Here is a 24945-nt window from a genome sequence, read left to right on the forward strand (position 1 = left end):
ATTAAATTTTAAATAGTTTCTTCCCCAATGGAACAAACAACAATAACACATACTGATACCTTTATTTAAAATATATTGCCACTTGGGTCCTCAATATGTAAAGAGTTATTTGAAATTTCTTCCTGGGAGGAACAGAGAAGTTAAGATGGCATGATACGCAACTATGATGATGATCTTGTGTTACTCCAGTTCTTAGTTTTACCCTATGTAGCTTATTCTTTCTAAAGAGTTTGCAGTTGAGGCTGAAAATACGAATAAGGCTACTTATAAGAATGTCAGAGTTCTGTGGTTAAAAGTATATCATCTTTTCTGTTAGTTTTTATATATTTGAAAGTTATGAAAGCAGCTAGAGTCAGATAGAAGTGTACCCAGGACAGAGTTGATAGTGGAGCCAAAGAATAAAAAAACAAAAATGAACAGGGCTAGTGTTTTCCAAAACTTCTTCATATGGTTGAATCTCAGGCAATTGTGTTTTAAATTACATTTAGAGCATTTTTTCCAGGAGAAGAATAATAATAGAATTTGTATGCAATATAAAGATCATGATCACAGGCATCTATGGAGGAAAAGCTGTTGAACGATCAATTCTTTCCAACTTTTAAAAAAAAGATTCAGCTGCAGTTTCTTCAGTTGTTTTGTCATCTCTTAGCGCTCATTCATGTCATTCAACAAACATCTCTCTTTTTTTTTTTGAGATGTTGTCTCGCTCTGTCACCCAGGCTGGAGTGCAGTGGTATAATCTTGGCTCCCTGCAACCTCCGCCTCCCGGATTCAAGCAATTCTCCTGCCTCAGCTTCCTGAGTAGCTGGGATTACAGGCGTGTCCCACCATGCCCGGCTAATTTTTGTATTTTTAGTAGAGACAGGGTTTCACCATGTACTTCAGGTTGGTCTTGAACTCCTGACCTTGTGATGTGCCCGCCTCGGCCTCCCAAAGTGCTGGGATTACAGGCATGAGCCACTGTGCCTAGCCCAACAAACATCTCTTAAAAGACCACTGTATCACATAACTGAGTGACTGTATTATATAAATAGCTCTTGAGGACACCACTCCTCAGTATCATCTTGGAGCTTGCCATCTGTTGAAAACTGTAATAAGCAGGTAGTGACATCACAGAAGAATCATGCTGCTGTACACAGATACATCTGGTCCAATGAACATCTGAGACAGATAGCTGAACCACATTTGTGGTGATGAAAGGTTTGGTCAGAAAAGGAGGCTGGGGTAAAACAGCATCTATTCTGTCATTTGAAGAATGGGAAGGATTTTGCTAGAACAAGAGAGGGTGGGAAAATAAGAAAGGAAAATAGAACATTTTAGGGAAAGGGAATAGTGTGTGCAAAGATGAAGAAGTATAAAAGAAAATGTAGCTTATTCCAGAAACTGCTAAAAGGATCAATATGGTGAGAATATCACAGTAGGTAAATATTAGATTCCAAAAGTATATGAAAAAACAGCTGAGGAATGTGAAACATAGAGAAAATTCTATTTGTTAGCAGTTCTCCCCCTACTCCTGTGACCTGAAAAAAATTCAATACTTTCTGAAGCATTTGGATCCACTTAGCTAGTGGAATACCAGCATTTCATGGGAATATATGTAACTAGAACAACTAGTTAGGAGCCAACATGGCCATATCTGGTTTTGGAACAAAGTTTAACATGGAATTACGCCTATGACTACACCAGAGTTTGGACTGAAGGTGTTACAAGAGTTGCAGTAAGGATGGTAGAATGATAGTGTGGTTGTAAGCATATTTTAGAGGATTTGTGCATGTGTGTTCCCTGTTATGTGCCTTCTACTCTCTTGGGATTCAGATCTGCTATGCACATGCAAAATTAAAGAAAGATATTTATAATGTGTTTTTAGGATGTATTAGAGGATAATGACAGAGTCCTGGTCTTGTACATGTTTTATTCTTTCTGTAGCTACAGAAGCATTGAAGAAGAGAAAGTACTACTGGTAGAAAACAAATATAGAACTTCATGTTAGAGAAGCAGAACCCTAACTAATGAGCTCTGACAGTCTGATTTTTAATAGCGTATTTGTAGATATTTGACACTAAGTAGCTACGCTTCCACTTATCCTAAAAAGAACTATCACTTCTCTGACAGAATGATAGAGTAGAATTCTTTGTAAAAAATAAATAATTTTATGTACAGTTGTTTTTCAAGATTATTTCAAAACACTTCCTTTTCTTAAAAATGAGTAGTAAATATTTTCTTATTTAGTTAAAATCCTGTTTCTCTTTATTTTTTAAAGCTGTCGTGTCATGAGAGAGCCACAATTCTTCAAACATATTTAACTGCTGGAGAGAATGGCTCAGAATCCCAGGTATCAGCTTCAGCACACGTAAGTTCCCTGGAACAAAACTTCAAATCCCCAAAGTTTTCTTTTCAACTTGCCAAAGGTTGGTCAAGAAATCCACCAAATTTCTCTAGGGCTATTTCTCTCTCTCTCTTTCTCTCTCTCTATCCCCCTACTCCCCAGGTTTATCATTATCATGTGTTAACATTAAGGTACAAACTGAAGCAGGCTATTTTTGAGGCCAGTATTGGCAATATATCCAGTACACTCAAGGGCCTGAAAAGTTAATAAACTTTTGCTGTAATACAAGAAGGCAAAGGACAGTAATTTGGGGCTCAAAAGAGAGTTGTTGCTGATTATATTAAAGCTTTTACTTTGTGCTCTAAAACAAAATGAATGAAATGCAAATTCAAATTGGATAGGCTTTTAAAATACAGTTTGGAAACATGACAGTCACTTTGAATAGCCAGTTGATTTTTCCTCTTGACATGTAAACTAAAATATTCTGTCAGTTATTTTTAAAAGAGTGGTAATAAAAAAACTAGTGTTGACTATATGGCACTATTTCAGCCAATTTATGTCAAGATAAAACAAAAATGGCACATAATATATTTATCCCTGTTTCAGCTGTTGACAGTTTATTTCTGTTAGTTATTTTTTTATTAGGAAATTTAGTTCCCGGTACATGAGTTTTAGTAAAATTTAATAAAATGTAATATTCATCTATTGTGCTAAGCACTGTGCTATATGCTTTATGTGTACTACAGCACTTTTCATAATAATATTATTGATATTATCAAATATATTTTATTGATGAAGAAATAGAGGCCCAAATAAGGTGAATAAATTTCCTTGGGGTCAACAGCTAATTAGTGGTAGATTTGCAATTTATAGATTTGAGATTTGGGGTAGGTTTTAGGTTTATAATCATATTTCTCTGATACCATTGGCCTTGATATATTCATTATGTTATGTATCAAGCAAAAACTCTGGTACCTTTTCTAAAGTTTAACACAGGAAAAAAGTGTTTTTACACATTTTTAATAGGGAGTTAAATAAAAACTCCAAATTGAATCTTTTTTATAATTCCATTTTATTATCAGATTGTGAAATTTAAAAATTCCTCACCTAAGATCTGGCTGGTAAGAGTCTAATAGCATGTCATTTAAAGAAATAATTCTATAGGGTTAAGAAAAAACGCTAGCCATTAATTCTAACCTGATTCAGAGAAAGAATGTAAGCCCTGAGCCCTGAAGGAATAACTTTTCTGTTTATAGAATTTGATCATAAGAAATTTTAAACTCATATACAACTTTTGTAGAAAATGAGACAATTTTTTCTCTTCTTTTTTCTAACTAAAATCACACTTTTTAATTTTTTAAGAACAGGAAATTTGGAAAGTGATTAATTCATAATATGGTCTAATCATTTTACAGAATGTGGAAGGAAAATGTAGGCAAAGGAGAAGGTACACCATTACAACTTTTGTCACAGGATGGGGCAGGGAAGGGTGAGAAGAGTCCAGTTTGTTCATCCAGCTGTGTCCAGACATATATTTGCTCTATGAAATGCATCTTGAAAAATTAGCCTTGAGATCCTCTAAAACTTACCTTACTTGTCATAGAAGATAGAGTATGTAAGAGCAGTTGTTATATCTAGAGGTAGATGTGGAAAATCCTTTATGAAGGAAATTCTACTTATTTTTGATACTTTGGTTCTAATTTTCCTCAATTCATATACTTATTCATTAAACAATCATTTTGTGAACTGGTAATACAAACATGAGCAATAAAGACTCTTCTTCCTGTAAGAGTTCACAGTCCAGTAGGAGATTATTTATTTATCTGTTTATCTATCTATCTCTGTCTGTCTGTATTTTTATTGAAAAACAAATTTACCATCTCCATAAGTTCAGAGAGTAAAGAAGAAGGATTGTCTACCTAGCTCTTTCTGGAGAAAGGTGGAGGCAAGGGAAGGTTGCAAATAGTTAATTCTTGTATATGGTGCTGGATAAGGGTCCAGCCTCATTCTTTTGCATGTGGATACCCAGTGTTCCCAACACCATTTGTCAAAGAGACTGTCCTTTCCCAATTGAGTATTCTTGGCATCCTTGTTTAAAATCATTTGACCATACACAATAAAAGACTTATTTCTAGGCTATTTTGTTATATTGGTTTGTGTATCTGTCTTATGCAAACACTATGCTGTTTTGATTACTGTAGCTTTGTAATGTGCTTTGAAATCAGAAGTGTGAGTACTCCAACTTTGTTCTTCTTGTCTAAAATTATCTTGGCTATTTGGTATTCCTTGAGATTCTATGTGAATTTTAGAATGGATTTTTTTTTTATATTTCATTTCTGCAAAAAAATGCCATTGGGATTTGATAAGAATTACATTCAATCTGTAGATTGCTTTGGGTAGTAAGAACATTTTAACAGTATCAGTTCTTTCAATCTATTGGTATCAGATATAGTCCATTTATTTGTCTTCTTTAATTTCTTTAAGCAAGGTTTTCTGGTTTTCAGTGTATACCTTTCACCTTCTTGGTTACATTTATTCCTAAGTACTTTATTATTATTATCGAGACAGGGTCTCACTCTGTCACCCAGGCTGGAGTGCAGTGGCATGATCTCAGCTCACTGCAACCTCAGCCTCCTAGGTTCAAGCAATTCTCCTGCCTCAGCTTCCCGAGTAGCTGGGATTACAGTCATGTGCCACCATGCCCAGCTAATTTTTTATATTTTTAGTACAGACAGGATTTCACCATGTTGGCCAGGCTGGTCTCAAACTCTTGACCTCAGGTGACTGATTGGCCTCGGCCTCCCAAAGTACTGGGATTACAGGTGTGAGCTACCATGCCCGGCCAGTATTTTATCTTTTTAATGCTATTATATAGGGAATTGTTTTCTTAATTTCATTTTTAGATTGTTCATTGCTAGTGCATGGACACACAACTGATTTTTTCATGTTGATTTTGTATGCTGCTGCTTTGCTGCATTTGATCATTATTCGCTAATGTTATTTATTTGTATTTTGTGCATGGAATATTTAGGGTTTTTTTACATAGGGATTACCCCGATCTTAAAACAGAAAGTGCTGCACCCCAGGAAATCCCTTAGTCTTAGCCAAACTGAGATGGTTGGTCAGTCTAGGTGTTGCTGATTTGGTGGTAGAGAAACAGTGACTATTAGTAGCAAGATAGTGCTTTTTATGAATTGAAATTTTGATTAAGAAATTTGTAGATTGGCTGGGCACAGTTGCTCACACCTGTAATCCCAGAACTTGGGGAGGCTGAGGTGGGTGGATCACCTGAAGTCAGGAGTTCAAGACCAGTCTGGCCAACATGGTGAAACCCTGTCTCTACCAAAAATACAAAAAAAGAAAAAAAATTAGCCAGGCACGGTGGTGCATACCTGTAATCCCAGCTACTTGGGAGGCTGAGGCAGGAGAATTGCTTGAACCTGGGAGGCGGAGGTTGCAGTGAGCTGAGATCGCGCCATTGCACTCCAGCCCAGGCAACAAGAATGAAACTCCATTAAAAAAAAAAAAAGCTAAAAGAAATTTGTAGATTGACATACAATTGTAAGAAATAAAACTTAGCAAGTTCATGTACCCTTTACCCAGTGGTAACATCTTGCAAAATTATGACACAATATCACAACTGGTATATTGTTGATATGGATCTAATCCACTGATCTTATTTAAATTTGACCAGTTTTACTTGTATTCATTTGTGTGTGTGTGTGCATTTAATTTTATATAATTTTATCACATGTGTAGGTTCATGTATCCCTCACCACTATCAAGATACAGAACCATTCCGCCATTACTAGGATTCCTCCTGTTGGCTGTTGTTTAATAACTCTACCTGCTTTGCTCTCATCCTTTCCTGACCCCTTTCTTCTCTCACCCCTACCCAATTCTGTCCGTAAACCCTAGCAACCATTAATATACTCTCCTTTTCTAAAATTTTATCATTTCAAAATATATATATGCATATATAAATGTATATGCATAAATACATGTATGTGTATTTGAAATTATACAGTATATAATCTTTTGGGTTTATTTTTTATTGCTCAGCATAAACTCTGAAGATTCATCTAAGTTGTTGCAAGTATCACTAGTTCATTCTTTTCTAGTACTGAGTAATATTACATGGTATCGATGTACCATAGTTTGTTGACCATTCACTTGTAAAATAATATCAGAGTTTTTTCTACCTTTTTTCTTGAGACGGAGTCTCGCTCTTTCACCCAGGCTGGAGTGCAGTGGCGCAATCTGGGCTCATTGCAACCTCCACCTCCTGGGTTCAACCGATTCTCCTGCCTCAGCCTCACGAGTAGCTGGGACTACCAAGTAGCTAGGACTACAGGCGCATGCCACCATGCCTGGCTAATTTTTTATTTTTTTTTTTAGTAGAGACGGGGTTTCACCATGTTAACCTGGATGGTTTCAATCTCCTGACCTTGTGATCTGCCCGTGTTGGCCTCCCAAAGTGCTGGGATTACAGGCATGAGCCACTGCACCCAGCGTCTACTTTTTAGCTATTAAAAATAAAACTGCAATGAACATTCATGTATAGATTTTCTGTGTGAATATAACTTTTCATTTATCTGCAATAAATGCCCAAGAGTGAAATTTCTGGTTTATATAGTAAGTACACATTTTATTTCATAAGAAATTGCTTAACCTTTTAAGAGTGACTGCACCATTTTACATTCCCATTCATACATATGAACAATGTATGAGTGAGTGATCCAGTTTCTCTGCATCCTTGCCAGTGTTTAGTCTTGTCAGTAATTTTTATTTTAGCTATTCTCATAGGTGTGTAGTGGTATTTCATTGTAGTTTTAATTTGGATTTTCCTAATGGCTAATCATGATGAACATTTTTTCATATACTTATTTATCATCTATATATCCTCCTTGGTGAAATGCCAGTTTATATCTCTTGCCCATTTTCTAGTTGGATTGTCAATTTTTTTTCTTTTACAATTGAGTGTTCAGAATTCTTTGTATATTCTGGATACTATTCTTTTGTCAGACATGTGGTTTGCAAATATTTTCTTCCAGTCTGTAGCTTGTATTTTCATCTTATTTTTATGGTCTTTTACAAGACTGACGTTTTTAATTTTGATGAGACCTCATTAACAAGTTTTCCTTTTTGGATTGTCCTTTTGGTGTAAAGTCTAAAAACTTCTTGCTTGACCCTGGATCCTGAAGATTTTTTCATGCTTTTTTTTGACAAGTTTTATAGTTTAACTTTTAAATATAAGAGCATTATATACTTTCAATTAATTTTTTTATAGGTGTGAGGTTTAGGTTAGGTTCATTTTTCTGCCTATCAATTGCTCCAGCACCATTTGTTGAAAAGACTTTTTTCACCTTTGAATTATTTTTGTACCATTGTAAAAAAAAATTTGTGTGGATCTGGGTTCTCTGTTCTGTTCTGTTGATCTACATGTTTATCCAACCGTTAATACTGCACTGTCATTCTTAACTGTAGCTATATGGAAAGCCTCAATGTCAGAGTGTTCCCTCCCACTTTTTTCCTTGTCATGATTGAGAACAAGCTTGGCTGTGTGTGCCAAAACCTTGCTGGGACTTTGATAGGAATTACATTAAGCCTATAGATCAATTTGGGGAAGAATTGACATCTTTATTATGTGAGCCTTCAAATCCATGAATATGGTATATCTCTTCATTTATTTAGTACTTTTTTGATTTTTTACATTAGTGTTTTGTAATTTTCAGCATATAATTTTTACAGGTTTGTTCAGTGTATACTTTAGTATTTCATTTAGTATTTCATTTCTTTGGAATGATTGGAAATAGTATTCTGTTTTAAATTTTGATTTTCTTCTTTTCAATGTTAATTCATTAACAGAAATATACACTTTGTGTGTGTGTGTGTTGATCTTGTATTCAGCAACCTTGCTAAATGAATTTTTTTTTTCTGTAAAGCTTTTGGGGTTTGCTTTTTTTTAAAAAAAATTTATTTTTTAAAAGTTAATATGTGCATTTCAGGAAACTGAAAAACACAAGAGGCAAAGAACAAAGTCCTCTATGATAACAAGTGGTTTACAGTTTGACATGTCCTTCTATGTCCTGTGTGTATGTAGACAAAATATCCTATTTTATGGGATTGAGATCATACAGTATGTATCATGCTTTTTCACACATCATGAATATTTACCAATTTGAAATCCCAAAGCTATATGAGTATTTCGATAGCCAAAAATACACTACACCAACTCACCAACTACACCTATTTTAGAAAAAAATGTAATCCTGCCTTCCCTGGGCCAAAATTTCATGGATGACAAAAATGACAACATGCCTCTAGATAAAAGCGTTGGCAGAGTTCTGATTTAAATACTGCATTCCCTTAATGCTCAATTTAAAATGAGACATAAACTGTAATCCAAGAACTTTGGGATGCTGAGGCAGGTGGCTTAACTTGAGGCCAGGAGTTTGAGACCAACCTGGCCAACATGGAGAAACCCTGTTTCGATTAAAAAAAAAAAAAATATATATATATATATATATATGTGTGTGTGTGTGTGTGTGTGTATATATATATAATGAAACATACAGCAACAGAATACATTAAGTATAATGTTTCTAAGAGAATTCATTAGCAGATCTGTACCATTAAAATATTAGCAAGGTGTGTTGTCATTGAATTACTTAACCTATTCCCATAGCACAGCCAAAAGAATTGCACATACATCAATGGCTATTGTCAAAATGTAAATATATATACATCTGTATACATTTCTCCCTTTATACGTCCTTGTGCCCTTCTGCTGCCAACCTAGTGAGCAAGTCTTGCTATACACTGCTCAGAGGTGGTTTAACAATTTCATGTCCAAGGTGCATCTTTTCTATCAATTATAACAAAAATATATTTATAAATTGCTAATTCACTAGCTCTACTTTTTAACCTACATTGTCACCTCAGGACATTTATAAAGCTTAGATGTTGCAAAATAATGAGCTTTGTCCACAATAAACACAGGTTTACTCAACACTACTTTGTATACAGTGGACAAACTGAAGTCCTTATTTAAAACATTTAGTCTTTCCAGATGTTTAGAAGTGCACAAAATTGTTAAAAATAGAGGTAGTGAATAACACACTTTGCAGATATCCTTTTGATTCACATGAAATGTTGTCTTTTAAAAATTAATCAAACCACTTCTCTGATCAGTACACATATTTATGCTGGTTCAAGGAGGAAGGAGGAGTAGAAAGTGCAAAGAGTTTTATACCAGTGTGTTTATGGCAAGGCACAAGTGACCATTGGCCCTTATGTCTGCATTTCCTTTTACAGTGCTGTGTATATAGCGTATATAAGCAAACAAACAAGTCCTAATTTACAACATCTAGTCTTTCTAGATGTTAGAGATGTTGTCAGTGTGTGACAAAAGGAGAGTCAGTAAAGTAATACATGGGAGTACACTTTGTGTTAAAATTCACAGGGAAGACGGTTATTAAAAACACAGAAGTGTAATTGTTAAAATCCCCTCTAAGTACTACAGATGCTTATACCTGTCCACTGGGTTGATAAAGTAGAAAGGGGAAGGGTTTTAGGCCATAATGTTTATTTTTAGAAAACACTTTCAAATTATAACCTGTGTTATATGTATGCATCATTTATTCAATGCTACTGTGTATAGAGTGGAAAACTTATGTCCTATTTGAAACATCTAGTATTTCTAGGAAGTATGCAGGGAGAAGGGTTCTATGCCCGTCATTTACACTAGTTCAGTTGGTCTAATCATCACTCTATATGTGGATTTTTGTTAATATTGTTGAGTATTAAAGGATAAACAAGTCCTAATGCTCAAAGTATGTTAAAAGTAGAGTAGTAAAACAATCCCTTTATGAATGTTCTTTTGTTAATTTTTAGTGAGAACTGTCTTCTGGGAGTGACCTTTGTTAATCCACTTTTTGGAGCTAGGCATAGTCCTATACTTAGTCACTGGGATGGTGGAAGAGGGACAAGAGGAAGGGTAAAGGGAAGGGCTATTTGCTAGTATCTCTGTATCTAGAAGATAGTTTTAGATGGTAGCCATAGGTCTATATGAGCATTTTTAGTAGAGTTCTTGAGATTTTCTATGTAAACAGTTAAGTCATGTGCAAATTGAGACAGTTTTTTCTTTTATTCATTATCTTGCCTTACCGTGGTGGCTAGAATTTGCAGTATTATGTTGAATAAGAGTGGTGAAACAGAGATCCTTCCTTTGTACCTGACCTTAGGGAAAAAACATTCAATCTTTCACCATTAAGTATGACCTAGCATTTTTTAGATTCTCTTTATCAAGTTGAGAGAAAATCCCTCTATTCTTGACTTGGCTGGCAGTTTTTATGATTAATGGGTGTTGGATTCTATCAAATGCCTTTTCTGCATATAATAACGTTATATAATTATATGATCTTTTGAATTTACCTTGTTGTAACCAGGTTACAGTGATTAATTTTTGAATGTTGAACCAGCCTCGCATACCTGGAATAAATCCCGTTTGGTGATAGTGTATAATCCCTTCCTTCCTTCCTTTCTTCTTTCCTTCCTTCCTTCCTTCCTTCCTTCCTCCCTCCCTCCTCCCTCCCTCCTTCTCTTCTCTTTCTCTCTTTCTCTTTCTTTCTTTCTTCTTTCTTCCTTCTTTCCTTCCTTCCTTCCTTCCTTCCTTCCTTCCCTCCCTCCCTCTCTCCCTCCCTTTCTTTTCTTTTCTTTCTCTTTCTCTCTTTCTTTCTCTTTCTCTTTTTCTTTTCTTTTCTTTTCTTTTTCTTTTTTTCTCTTTTTCTCTTGGGACTAGCTCTGTCACCCAGACTGGAGTGCAGTGGTGTGATCATGGCTCATTGTCTCTTGGGCTCAAGCCATACTCCCTCCTCAGCCTCCAGCATAGCTGGAACCACAGGCGTGCCCCACCATGCCCGGCTAATTTTTTATTTTTATTTTTTTGTAGAGACAGGGTTTCACCATATTGTGCAGGCTGATCTCAAACTACTAGGCTCAAGCGATCCACCTGCCCCAGCCTCCCAAAGTACTGGGATTATAGGTGTGAGCCATGGCAACCAGCCTAATTCTTCCTATACATTTTCAGATTTACTTTGCTGATAATTTGTTTTAATGTGTAAGTTCACAAGAGATATTGATCAATAACTTTTTTTTTATGTTTTTTGGTCTGCTTTTTGTACATAGTAACACTGTCCTTGTAAAATGAGTTGGGAAGTGTTCTCTCTTCTGTCTTCAGGAAGAGATTGTATAAAATTGGTGTTAATTTTTCTCTAAATGTTTGACAGAATCTCTAGTGAAACCATCTGGAATAAAAGTTACTTTCTTGGGAGCTTTTTAATTACAAATTCAATTTATTATCTAATGTTTATAAAACTAGTCAGATTATGTATTTCATGTTGGTTGAGTTTTAGTAATTTGTGGTTTTCAATAAATTAGTTCATTTCTTCTAAGTAGTCAAATGTATGAGCATAAAATCATTCTTGGCATTCCCATATTATTCATTTAATAGTTGCAAGATTTGTAATAACATCACTCATTTCATTTTTAATATTGGTAATTTGAATCTTATCTTTTTTATTTTGTCAGTCTTGCTACAGGTTTATCAATTTTTTGATCCTTTTTAAAGAACCAGCTCTTAGTTTTATTGATTACCTCTAGTTTTACCTATTTTCAATTATATTTATTTCTGCTCTTATCTATAAAATTTCTTTTCCACTGTTTGTTTCAGCTTTACATTGCTCTTTCTTTTCTAGTTTTTTTGAAGTGAAACTTAGATTATTAAATTGTGACCTTTGTTTGTTTTCAATGTACGTATTTAGTGCTATAAGTAGCTCCCTCAGTACTGGCTTAGCTGCATCTCACATACTTTGATATGTTGTATTTTCATTTTTATTCAATGCTATGCATTAAAAAATTTCCTTTGACAATTTCTCTTTGACCGATGAATCATTTAGAGGTATGTTGTTTAATTTCTGCATGTTTGGAGATTTTCCTGTTGACCTTCATTTTTTCATCTTTTGTGTGATTCCATTATGGTCAAAGGTGACATTCCATATTACTTAAATTCTTTTGAATTTGTTGTGGTTTGTTTTATGGCCCAGGAGATGTGGTCTGAGTCAAAGGTCCAAAAGAGCATAATGGATGCATTAGGGATGTGTGTGTGGGTGAGGTGTGCGTGTGAAGGTGGTGGGAGGTGGGGAGGTTAGCATGTTTTAGAAAAGGGAATCAAGCTGTCAAAGATGATTCAGGGACAGACAGTTAAGTGAAAGTCACATACTCAAAATCACAGCTAGTAAGTAGTTGAGATTAAAAGGCAGCCTTTCTCACTCTACATGCATTGCTTTTTTCTCATTGCCTCTCCAAATATATGAACAATAAGTAAACAGAGATATGAAGCATGATTAAAAAATTAAAATATGTGGTAAAATTTAAAAGAAATTTAATTAAATTTAGCAAGGCTACTGTTTTGTCCAAACAACCCCATATCCTTCTTTGGTCATTAAAGTAGTGCTAGATACTATAACAGAATAACCCGGAGATCTCAGTGACTTAATACAATTATTTCTCCCTTTTTCATATAAAGTTCAATAAGAGATGGTGGTTATAGAGGGTGGATTCTGCTCCACACAAAATTAGAGGGAGCAAATATTCAGGGACCCAGGTTGAGGGAGACTTGTTTAACTCATGTTTTCCAAGGCCTTTCTGGGTGTCATCTCCTATTGGTAAATTAAGGAAAAGAGAGTGTGTGATCATTTGGCCAACCCTACAAATTATACACATTATTTTATCCACATTTAGTTTATTTTATCCACATTTATCCACATCTGACCAACTAAATTAGTCAGATGATACACAAATGCAAAGGAAAATGGAAAATGTATCCTAGTTTTCTAAATATGCAAAAGGGGAAATGATTTAGTAAACAGTTTTTCAGTTTCTGCCACACATGATGTATCTATCAGGACCTCTTTACATAATTTACATATGTCACAGTCATTTATAAGCAACTGTTGCCATATTTTTTGATTTTGTAGATTGGGCAGAAAATGTTGTCAGACTCTGTATTAGTTCATTCTCCTACTGCTATGAAGAAATACCTGAGACTGGGTAATTTATAGAAAAGAGGTTTAATTGACTCACAGTTCCACATGTCTGGGGAGGCCTCAGAAAACTGAAAACCATGCTGGAAGGCAACTCTTCAGAGGAGAGAGAATGGGTGACACCAGGGGAAATGCCAGATGCTTATAAAACCATCAGATCTGTGAGAACTCATTCACTATCATGAGAACAGCATGGGGGAAACGGCCCCCATGATCCAATTACCTCCACCTGGTCCTGCCCTTGATACATGGGGATTATTACAATTCAAGGTGAGATTTGGGTGGGGACACAGAGCCAAACCATATCATTCCATCCCTGGTCCCTCCCAAACCTCCTGTCTTCACATTCCAAAACACAATCATGCCCTTTCAACAGTCCCCCAAAGTCTTAAATCATTTCAATATTAATGCAACAGTCCAAATTCAAAGTCTCATCTGAGAACAGGCAAGTCCCTTTCACTTAGGAGCCTGTAAAATCGAAAGCAAGTTAGTTACTTCCTAGATACAATGGAGGTACAGGCATTGGGTAAATACACCTGTTCAAAATGGGAGAAATTGGCCAAAACAAAGGGGCTGCAGGCCCCATGCAAGTCTGAGATCTAATAGGGCAGTCATTAAGCCTTAAAGTTCCAAAATGATCTCTTTTGACTTCGTATCTCACATCCATATCACCCTGATGAAAGTGGTGGGCTCCCATGGCCTTGGGCAGCTCTGCTTTGCAGGGTACAGTCCCCCTCCCAGTTGCTTTCACAGGCTGGCATGAGTGCCTGTGGCTTTTCCAGGTGCACCATGCCAGCTGTCAGTGGATGTGCCATTCTGGGGTCTGGAGGATAGTGGCCCTCTTCTCACAACTCCACTAGGCAGTGCACCAGTGGGAACTCTGTGTGGGGGATCTGACCCCACATTTCCCTTCTGCCCTGTCCTAGCAGATGTTCTCCATGAGGGCTCCACCCCTGCAACAAACTTCTGCCTGGACCTCCAGGCATTTCCATACATCCTCTGAAATCTAGGTGGAGGTTCCCAAACCTCAGTTCTTTACTTCTGTACACCTGCAGGCCAAACACCACATGGAAGCTGCCAAGGCTTGGGGCTTGCACATTTTGAAACAATGGCCTGAGCTGTACCTTAGCCCCTTTTAGCTAGGGCTGGAACTGAAGCAGCTGGGAGGCAGATCACCTTGTCCCAAGGCTGCACAGAGCAGGGGGAACGTGGACCCACCCCAGGAAACAATTTTTCCCTAATAGGCCTCCAGGCCTGTGGTGGGAGGGGCTGCCATGAAGGTCTCTGACATGCCTTGGAGATGTTTTCCCCACTGTCTTGATGATTAACATTCAACTCCTTATTATTTATGCAAGGTTCTGCAACTGGCTTGAATTTCTCCCCAGAAAATGGGTTTTCTTTTCTATATCATTGTCAGCCTGCAAATTTTCCAAACTTTTATGCTCTGCTTCGTCTTGAACACTTTGCTGCTTAGAAATTTGTTCCGCCAGATACCTTAAATAATCTCTCTCAAGTTCAATGTTCCACAAATCTCCAGTGCAGGGGCACAATGCTGCCAGTCTCTTTGTTAAAGCATAGCAAGAGTCACCTTTACTCCAGTTCCCAGAAAGTTCCTCATCTCCATCTGAGACCACCTAAGCCTGAACTTTATTGTCCATATTACTATCAGCATTTTGTTCATGGGCATTCAGCAAGTCTCTAGGAAGTTCCAAACTTTCCCACAACTTCCTGTCTTCTTCTGAGCCCTCCAAACTGTTCCAACCTCTGCCTGCCGCCCAGTACCAAGGTCACTTCCACATTTTTCGGTACCTTTATAGCAGCACCCCACTCTCTGTGGTATCAATTTACTGTATTAGTTCATTCTCATGCTGCTGCAAAGAAATACCTGAGACTGAGTGATTTATAAAGAAAAGAGGTTTAATTGACTCACAGTTCGACATGGGTGGGGAAGCCTCAGGGAACTGAAAATTATAGTGGAAGACACCTCTTCACAGGGAGGCAGGAGAGAGAGTGAGTACAAGCAGGGGAAATGCTAGACACTTACAAAACCATCAGATCTTGTGAGAACTCACTCACTATCATGAAAACAGCATGGGGGAAACTGCCCCATGATTCAATTACTGCCACCTGGTCTCTCCCTTGACACACAGGGATTATGGAGATTATGGGGATTATAATTCAAGGTGAGATTTGTGTGGAGACACAGAGCCAAACCATATCGCACTCCTAATGGCTATGGATCAGACTATCTACTGTTACAAATAAAAGGTTTTTTTTTTCAGTCATTGGCCATGCTGAAAACATTAAGTGATTTCCAACTCATAATTAATAGGGCAAATTTTCATTCAGGGACACATGCAACAGCTTTCTTAGCTGTATGTTTACTTTTCTTCTGTGATAATATATCCAGATACAGCAAGTGAGAAAGGATGCTGAAAGTCTTTTTCAATGAAAATGATTTGGAACTATTAAATAAGAACAATGTTTTCCAAAATGTTTCTTGTAGAACACTAGTCCTTGAATATACTCCAAAGGAAAACATATAGTTATTTACCCATAAAAGTTTACCAAGGAATGATACTCAAATATCTCTCTTGAGTATTTACAATACATGAGAACATATTAAATATTCTAAATAATTCTGCCATAAAGAATTTTGGTTTTAACCTCAGCTTTTCTAATACTTGTCATAGATTTCTGGGTTTTAATACCACATGCTATTGTGTTACATCTGTGAGAAATGAAATTCCACTTGACTGTCATTACAATTGAACTTCCTAGTTTTGAATGCCACTTTCTATACTGAAAAATTAGTAAGAAAGTATTTTTCATATGAGTAATATTGTTTTGTAGGGCTTTAAGAATACATAGAATAAAATACATTTAGTCATGTTTTCCCTTTTTATTCTTATTCCCTACTGCAGTTATTAGCAAACTTAGCACCAACAGGGTGAACATTAATTTGTATAGTTTTTCCTTCCTCTCCCTTAAAAATATATTGCATTATGTAAACTTCAGTTTATTTTCTCCTTAGGCTACCAAATTCACTTCATAAGTTTTGGAAGTCCTTTTTTCCACTACCAATATTTCTATATTTTTTCATAGAAACATTTCCTCACTCTGGTGAGGAAGAATAATCTCAGAAGAACAATCTTAGGCCCTTTCTTTTACCTTCAGTTTCTCCATTTTGTTTTTATTTTTCTCTTCTGCATTTTGAACCTGAACCAGAGATAAAATATAAGAAAGAATTTGAGGTTGATGTCAGAAGCATTTCCAACAGGGCTAAGGAAGTATTTTTTTGGAAGGTGAGTGTGATTTATAATACCATGCAGGAGTAGTGGATATGCCACATGATGTCATTCCTTTGTTTTTGTTTTCTAACTTGAAGAAAAATTTGTGATTTTTTACATTGGCATAGAAAATAAAAATAGAGCATTGACTAATATTTAAAAAATGATCCTGCTTACTTGATATGCTATCATCTTTTATTATGCTTTGCTTATAAGCAAAATTATTTCCTACTGTAGTTTTGCAATATAATATTGTAAAAGTATATTTGCCAAACACAATATTTGGAGTAAGTTAAAATTTATTATCTGTTTCATTAAATACTTTTACTGCTCTTGCCTTTTCTCCCTTCTCTCTTTTCTGGCATAACTACCAGTAACTGTAAAGATATGTGAGCTGATATTTACAAAATGGCAGGCACCTTTTCCTGAGGACTGTCAATCAGTACCATTTGTGCAGATGAACCATTGCCAACTTCCATACACTAGGTTATTTTAAAAATAATGCTTAATTAAAAAAATCTAGTTGATGGTGATGGAATATTCTTTATTCTGGGTAAACTTTGTAAGTTTGGATTAAGACCACAAGATATCAAAACATTTGTGGGACCATATTGTGCTATTAGTTTGGCCCTCAAGAAATCAGAAGGTAACTCTGGTGTTCCAGGAACTATTCAACCTGAGAATCTTAGTGTACTTAACTTTAATGAAGTAAGTTAAGTTATCTGAGGCTGTGCTTTCATTAGGTAGCTACTAGCCACAGGTGGCTATTGAAATTAAAATTAATTAAAATAAACAAAATTAAGTAGTTTCTCATTCACACTAGCCACATTTCAAGTGCTCAGTAGTCACATATTACTAGTGGCTACTGTGCTGAACAGTATAGATTGTCGGATATTTCCAGCATTGTTGTAAGTTATAATGAAAAGGGCTAATTCAGAGGGCATTATTATTTCCAGTTCATATATAAAGGACAAAAAGCTAGAATTGCACCCTTGATTATCAGTCACTTCAATTTATTTGGAACAGTCTTAATTACTCAGATACGAGATACTTTCCTGAACAGTTGTATAACCTACTGGAAAAAATATTGGATTGGAAGATAGGATAAGTGGAGTTTGTTCCAACCATAAACTCGTGTTGATGAGAAAATAATTTGACTTATTTAAGTTACTTTTACCTGTGGAAAACCAAACTATGAGACATGTGCAGAAAAGAGTTAACATAGCAAGCCTGACTACTATCCTTAGAAAGGGTACTTACAAAATTGGCCCTTGCCTGGCATCTGAAAACTTGGATTTCAAAAGAATTCCCACCATTTCCTCATGAGAGTGTCTCACTGTGCCAAAAATGCTTGTACGAACAATATGGTTTGTGCTGAACTCCTCCTTCCCTACTGGGAGTCTGGAATGTGTGTATGTGCCAGGCAGAGGGTGCTTACGTGACTAGCCCCAAACAAAAACCTTGGTGCTGAGTCTCTAACAAGCTTCCCTGGTAGATATTTCACACTTGTCACAACTTATTATGGGGGACTTAAGCATGTACTGTGTGGTTCCAATGGGAGACGATTCTAGAATCTCACTCCTGGTTTCCCCCAGACTTCACCCCACGTGACTTTTCTCTTTGCTGATTTTTCAGTGTATCTTTTCGTTGTAATAAATCATAGCCATGAATATGACTATATACCGAAGTCCATGAGTCTTTCTAGCGAATCACCAATCCCAGGGGTGGTCTTGACCCTCAACACACCTCATAATTATGTTGAAAGGGTAATATGAAGTCTAAAGTTTAAGAATAAGTTTGAATTCCAAACACAGTGCCATACGCTTGTCAGTTATTATTAACAATTGTACTGAATCTGGCAAGGAAGAAAAATCAGACAAAATATTTATTCAAAAATACACAAAATAAGATTGTTTAAAATAAAACTGAAAAGCTATATACTCCTGAATAAATTATATCTAACATTTTAAGACATAATTGTGGTGTTATTTTATTTACATTAACTGGGGACACTGAATCGTAACACTATATTAGGATTTGGGAAGATATGACTTAGAGAAAAACAGAGGACATCATGCCCTTCTTGGACTTTTAAGTATCTACAGAAACACTTCCAAAGCAGTCTGGAAATGTGAGCTCAAGAGGCTAAGACAAGAATTTCAGTGAAACAGAATAGCACTCATCCTTCCTTGGATCAAGTTTAAAGAAGCTGCAAAGTCCTCCTCACACAAGTCTCTGGATATGTATCTGTCTTTCTGCAACAGGTTTAAGAGACTCAAGACCTCAGAGCTGACATATCTGGGTGTTTCTTGACAGAGACTGAGAAATATGGCCTTGGCTTCCTGTGGTGGGAGTGAAAGCAGAGCTCTCTCTCCTTTTATTTTAAAAGTCAAATTTATAAAGTATCTTGTTGTAGTGAATGCTTTCCTGGCTCAAATATCATAATCTTTACCTAAACATGAGAATTTTTATCTTTGCTGTGCAACTCATTCATATCCAAATTCCAAATGTCAACTCACCCTCTTCTCTGATTTCCACCACCCATTTTTTACAACATGGCTCCAGGGAGGATATATCCTTGGTTTCCTGCAATGATGTCTGATGAAGGTACTTGTGCCTTTTTTCTTCCCTGTCCCACCCCATTCTTTCTTTTATACCTTTCTTTTTCCATTTCCTAAGGTTCTTATTCAGATGACCAATTTCAAAGGTTTGGACCAAAACCTCCCCAGGCGTCAGAGCTTTTGGGGGCCTAAGTTTGAGTACAAATTGTTTCTAGGGGATACCCAAAGGTTGTCTTTATGACCACAGTGACTTTAAAAAATATATCAAAGAGAAAAACAGAACAAGTATCAGACTTCATGCAGTACAAAATAGCATGAGGAATAAGACTGCAGATATATGGAACCAGATTGCTTGAGTTTGAATTCTATCTTCTCTGCTTATTTCTGTTTCATCTTAGGCAATTTACTTAACCACCCTGTGCCTTGATTTACTCACCTATTAAATGCAATAGCAACAGTATCTATTAATACCATGCCCCCCCTTTTTAAATAAAGACAGTGTCTCACTCTGTCACTCAGGCTGGAGGGAGTCAATGGCATAATCATAGTTCACTGCAGCCTTGGTTGCCTGGGTTCAAGTAATCCTCCCACCTCAGCCTTCCAAGTAGCTAGGACTACAGGCATTTGCCACCATGCCTGGCTATTTTTTAAAAATTTTTTTATAGATGGAGTCTCACTATGTTGCCAAGGCTGGTCTAGACTCTTGGCCTAAAGTGACCCTCCCATCTTGGCCTCCCAAAATAATGGGATTACAAGCATGGTCCACCAAGCCTGCCCATCACCTATCTTATTGAGATATTGTGAAGATTAAATCAGTTAACTTATGTGAATTGCATAGAACACTTAGTAGGTGCTATATAAATATGGTGACCACTTAATTGATCACCCAACCTGGGATGCATTTGAATATAAAAAGGGGCATTATTAATAATTATACCAGAACAAGTATAATGGTAAGTGCTCAGCATTATTATTTTTAAATTTTACTTGAAAGAAAACTTATTTTTAAGTAGCAAAATTCTCTACAAATGGAAAACTCTTTAATATAAACTTTCCTGCTAATAAAAGCACAGAATATAGGAGAAAAAAAATGAATGTACCCCTGTGTTATAGGACTTGGGAAAAATGAATTCAGTTGGGTCACAGGAGCACATGCACAGTGAGCTGTCATCTTTGAGATTGGGGAGGGAATACTTATTGAGGACAAGAGTATCTTTTTACATTCGTTCAAAGTGCAGAGGTGGTGGGGGCAGAAAACCTTATTTGAAGGTGAAGTTAAGTTAAATTCATTACAGGCCAGTCAGTTATTAAAAGCACTAATGACAGCAAAGCAAGCATAAAGCACCTCCAACAATTTGCCAAGCATTCTTGCCTTGCTGCCTTTCGGTAAAGGTTTCTCTAAAATGATTTTAAAACTATTGAGATGTATATGACAACTAAGTGATCTCACTTGTCACTTGGTCAATATCGTTTCCTTCCAGAGTAGTTCAACCTCAGATGTCATTTATGTGTACTTTGTTCTGATTATCATTCAACAGTGACAGCAAATATTTTTCTCTTCTTTCTCTCTAATCCTCTTTTCTGGCTTACAGATCTCTTCTTGGCCCTTGACAGAAGAAGCAGAGTAACTTTTCTTAGGTGGCATAATTCTTCAAAATGTGTTCATTTTGAAGAACAGGGGTGATGGATGGTAATACACAGGCAGGGATCAACAGTCCCAGAACTGAAGGAAGAGTTGACAAATGTATCAAAGATGCCTAATCAAAATGTGTCCACATTCTGCTAAATAAATTCTGGTTGAGCAGAACTAACAAAATCTATGTTTTCTTATTGTTAATATTTTTTGTATTGAATATGAGATGATATACAGAAGGAAACAAAACAAAATTGATGACAAACTAGCAGTTTGAATTTTGCTAATGTTTGAAGATGAGTAATTGCCAAATGGGGAGTTTGAGTCTCAGAAAACAGTAGAGAAAAAATAGCTTTTTGAGATTTCAAAAACCAAATATTAAAAAAAATTAACTGAAAAACTCAAAATGTTGATGCTCACTTATTAACATTTCATAAGTTAAAAATTTTGATGTTATTGGATAATCAAATGCATTTGTATCTATAAACCACAATTTGTCATAGCACAGATTCAGTTCTACTCCAGGTCAAATCATGCCCCATTCTTAGCAAACAAAAACTACAGAAATTAGTAGTCTTATATAACACAGTTCACAACACTAATAATGTACCACAACTTGATGTTTTTAGTAACAGAGGATATGGCATATAATTTTTCACATGTGTTATAGGTATCTTTGTTTTTGATTCTCACAACAGCCCTATGAAGTAGGTGACATTGACTCTGAGGTACATGGAAGTGAATTTGCCTGAGTCTTAACAGCTAGTAAGTGAAGGAACAAAAGTTCAATCCCAGTGCTCATGTCCATAACTCTTGTTCAATACTGACCTTGGCACCAATTACCAGAAAGAGATTTGATTCTGGACATGTATCTTAGAGGAATGTTAAATGCTTAGTGATTTAATACATGGCACAACAAAAGCATTTAAAGGCAAGATGCCACAAAATCCTGCTTTTGTTGAATCAATTCACAGGTCTAACGTGGATTTAAAATAACTTGCGTGTGTTTATGAGTATTTATACATTATTTGTGTCAGCCAAAAAAAATGGAATGAAGTATTAAGTATCAGGACCAAAGCCAAGTCAATTGAAGATGTCAGAAATAACCAAAAGCTCAGAATGAATTACACCATTTGTTTAGGGCACTCTTGGGTATTTATCAAGGATGTTTCCAATCCAGCTCTCAAAGCAATAAACTCTAGGTAAGTCATCAAATAAATAAGTAAATGTAGCACTGTATAACCTTTATTCTGTATTGTCTAAGAAATGGTTTTCTTTCAGAGAAGCAAGCCTTTTACATTTGACACTAGACTGTAGTTTATTGCTTTAAAACTGAGCTGTTCAATTTAGGCTTATGATAAAAGGTGTACACTTAGATAAGCAGACATTTAAGCTGATTAGATGGTCTAAAACAGTGGATTTAGAACCATTTCTACCATGCAATTACTCCTTAGCCCAGTGTCTCTCACAGATGAAAGCAGAGCTGCTCTGGATGAAGAGAGAAAGAGGTGGAGGCCCGGGATTGCAGCAGCTGGGTTGTCTATTGACCTGTGTACTTAGGTAGCCCCAAGGGTACCAGCATTACATGTCTAGGGCTCCCCATACCACACTCTGAAAGCCACTGTTCTAATAGCCAAACCCAAGAAAATGTGTGAAAACAGAAACCAAATTTAAATTACGAAGATTATAACATTTAAGGAGATCAAATTTTAAATGACTTTATTTAGGACTCTATTTTGCTGGATTTGTACATATTCCCAGATGGAAGCTCTGTGTTCCTAAAGATGGAATCAAATAATGTCCATGAAAAAAAACCTTGTTATATTAATCTTTTTTTGAAGAAATAATACTCCTATATTACTTAATAAACATTATTTAAGCTAATCTTCAATATTGCTGAGGTGTCAGATCTCCATCTGCATTTTATGGAAGATTAAACAAAGAGATTAACTGGAAAACCTGTGGAGATTAAGAGATTAACTGGAACAAAGAGATTAACTGGAAACTCCACCTCTGACTTTCCATATGACTTTGAACTGTGAGACTTTTACAGCCTCCTAGGACGTGGGCTTCCTAAATATAATCATAGAAGATCATACATACTCTTTATTTAAAGGTGTGACTTCTTGTGCTTTTTTAAATAAAGAGATTATTTAAAATGAATTTAAATCAACTAGTGTATCAAACTTTTTAAAGTCTCAAAAGTTAATCAAATTGTGACTGTTTTTAATTTATATGAAAAGTATATGGAGATGGTGCAAATTTAGGGAAAAGGAAAGTCTTTCTTTGGTTGTAATGACTTACAGGGAGGACCACTGTATGATAGATCATTATAAATTAAAATTCTGTACTAGGGTGGTGTTATGGGACAGTGAGATGTCCCATTGTCTCATAATTTTGGTTAAGATTCTGTAGTTGAGATCAAAAGACTAATATTCCACATTTTGAGTTTAGAGAGCTGCCACTTTTCAGCGGGGTGCTTGAGCAACCAACTTCTTCAGCTCAGTTTTCTCCCCTATAAAATAGTATTTACCTCATGAGGGTAAAATGAATTAAAACAGTGCTAAGAAAAAAATTTGGCATAGCTCAATGAAATTTAATTATGGACTTCTAACTGAGGAGACAACTATATTATAAGCTTGATGATGGCAGGGACTTGTGTGATATTTCCTGTGTTACCCCAATACTTAATGACATGCTTTTATAAAGTGTTGGTTTAATATATTTTTCTTGCAAATAAACAATTTTGGTATTTAATGAGTTTTAAGTTATAACAATTCATTTTTAAAATAGTGTATCATAAAACGGAATAGTTTTAAATATTATGTAACAGCCCAATTAACAAGGTTGATGATACATACACATGACATATGTATATATTTATATATACTCAAGATATATATATATATATATATATATGTATATACTTATACATACATACACACAAACACACACATACACACACACGGACTATACGCACACATAATCAGATAACAAATAGTAAATTCACGCTCTTCAAGCACACATGTCACATCTACAAAAGTTAATGTTGGCCGGATGCAGTGGCTCACCTTGTGGTCCCAGCATTTTGGGAGTCTGAAGTGGGAAGAATATTTGAGTCCAGGATTCAAGACCAGCCTGGTCAACCTAGTGAGACCTTCTCTTTACAAAAAACACACAATTAGCCAGATGTGGTGGCTTGCATTTGTAGTCTCAGCTACCTGGAAGGCTGAGGTGAGAGGATCACTTGGGCCTGGGAGACTGAGTCTGCAGTGAGCCTAGATCGTGCCACTGCACTACAGCCTGGGCAACAAAGCGGGACCATCTAAAAACAAAACCAAGCAACCAAACAAAGAAAAACAAAAAACAAAAAACAACACAACAAAAAATAGTCTTGTAGTAGACTAAAATAAATTCTAGATGAATCCCAAATAATTAATAAAATAAAATTCTCAATTGCTTAGCATAATGTAATAAAATTGAAACTAACAAGAAAACAATAGTTAAAACTCCAATATGTTTAGAAAGTAAAAAGAAACTTCTAAATAATTGGTTACAGAAGAACTCAAGAGATCACAAAAAAAGTATGACAAATTGAAATTTATAAAGTACTTGAAGCATTTCTTAGGGAAGTTCATAAAGCAGTATAGTTTAGCAGTGCTCAAGTGAATTTATGTATATAAAATAAAATAAAATTAGAAGCTTGAAAGTAATAAGCCAAATTTTTTTCTACAGAACCAAACAAAGAAAAAAACAGCGAATCTGACAAAAGCAGGATGAAGAATAAAAGAGAAGAGAAGAAATTAAAGAAATAGGAAGCAGTTATGATGATTAACAAGACTAACAACTAGTTCAAAGAAAAGAAAGCACTAATAAATTAGAAAAACATCTGGAAAACTGGTCAAGTGAAAGACAAAGAATGTAAAAGAAAATATTATGAGGAACATGGGGTCAAATAATAGATATCATCTCTTTTACCCTACAAGTCCAAAGAGAACATGATGATCAATTTTATGACTGTGTTTAGACA

The 24945-nt window shown here is 35.8% G+C and overlaps 1 long non-coding RNA gene across 1 annotated transcript, besides 1 other annotated feature; it reads left to right on the plus strand.

The window, feature by feature from the left end:
- Positions 1-1272: 1272 nt before the first annotated feature.
- Positions 1273-21097, plus strand: LINC02173 (long intergenic non-protein coding RNA 2173). The gene is made up of 4 exons (NR_147150.1): positions 1273-1403; positions 2261-2350; positions 16660-16736; positions 20875-21097. It is a non-coding gene; the product is annotated as a long intergenic non-protein coding RNA 2173 (long non-coding RNA).
- Positions 11994-13193: an enhancer, noted in NCBI's record as "BRD4-independent group 4 enhancer chr4:107365502-107366701 (GRCh37/hg19 assembly coordinates)". NCBI's record gives its function as "activates an origin of replication core promoter dependent on BRD2, P300/CBP, MED14 and CDK7 cofactors, and independent of BRD4, by STARR-seq in HCT116 cells {active_cell/tissue: HCT116}" and the evidence as "EXISTENCE:reporter gene assay evidence [ECO:0000049][PMID:35650434]".
- Positions 21098-24945: the final 3848 nt, after the last annotated feature.

This window comes from Homo sapiens, chromosome 4, assembly GCF_000001405.40.
Source record: "Homo sapiens chromosome 4, GRCh38.p14 Primary Assembly".
NCBI classification, from domain to species: Eukaryota; Metazoa; Chordata; class Mammalia; order Primates; family Hominidae; genus Homo; species Homo sapiens.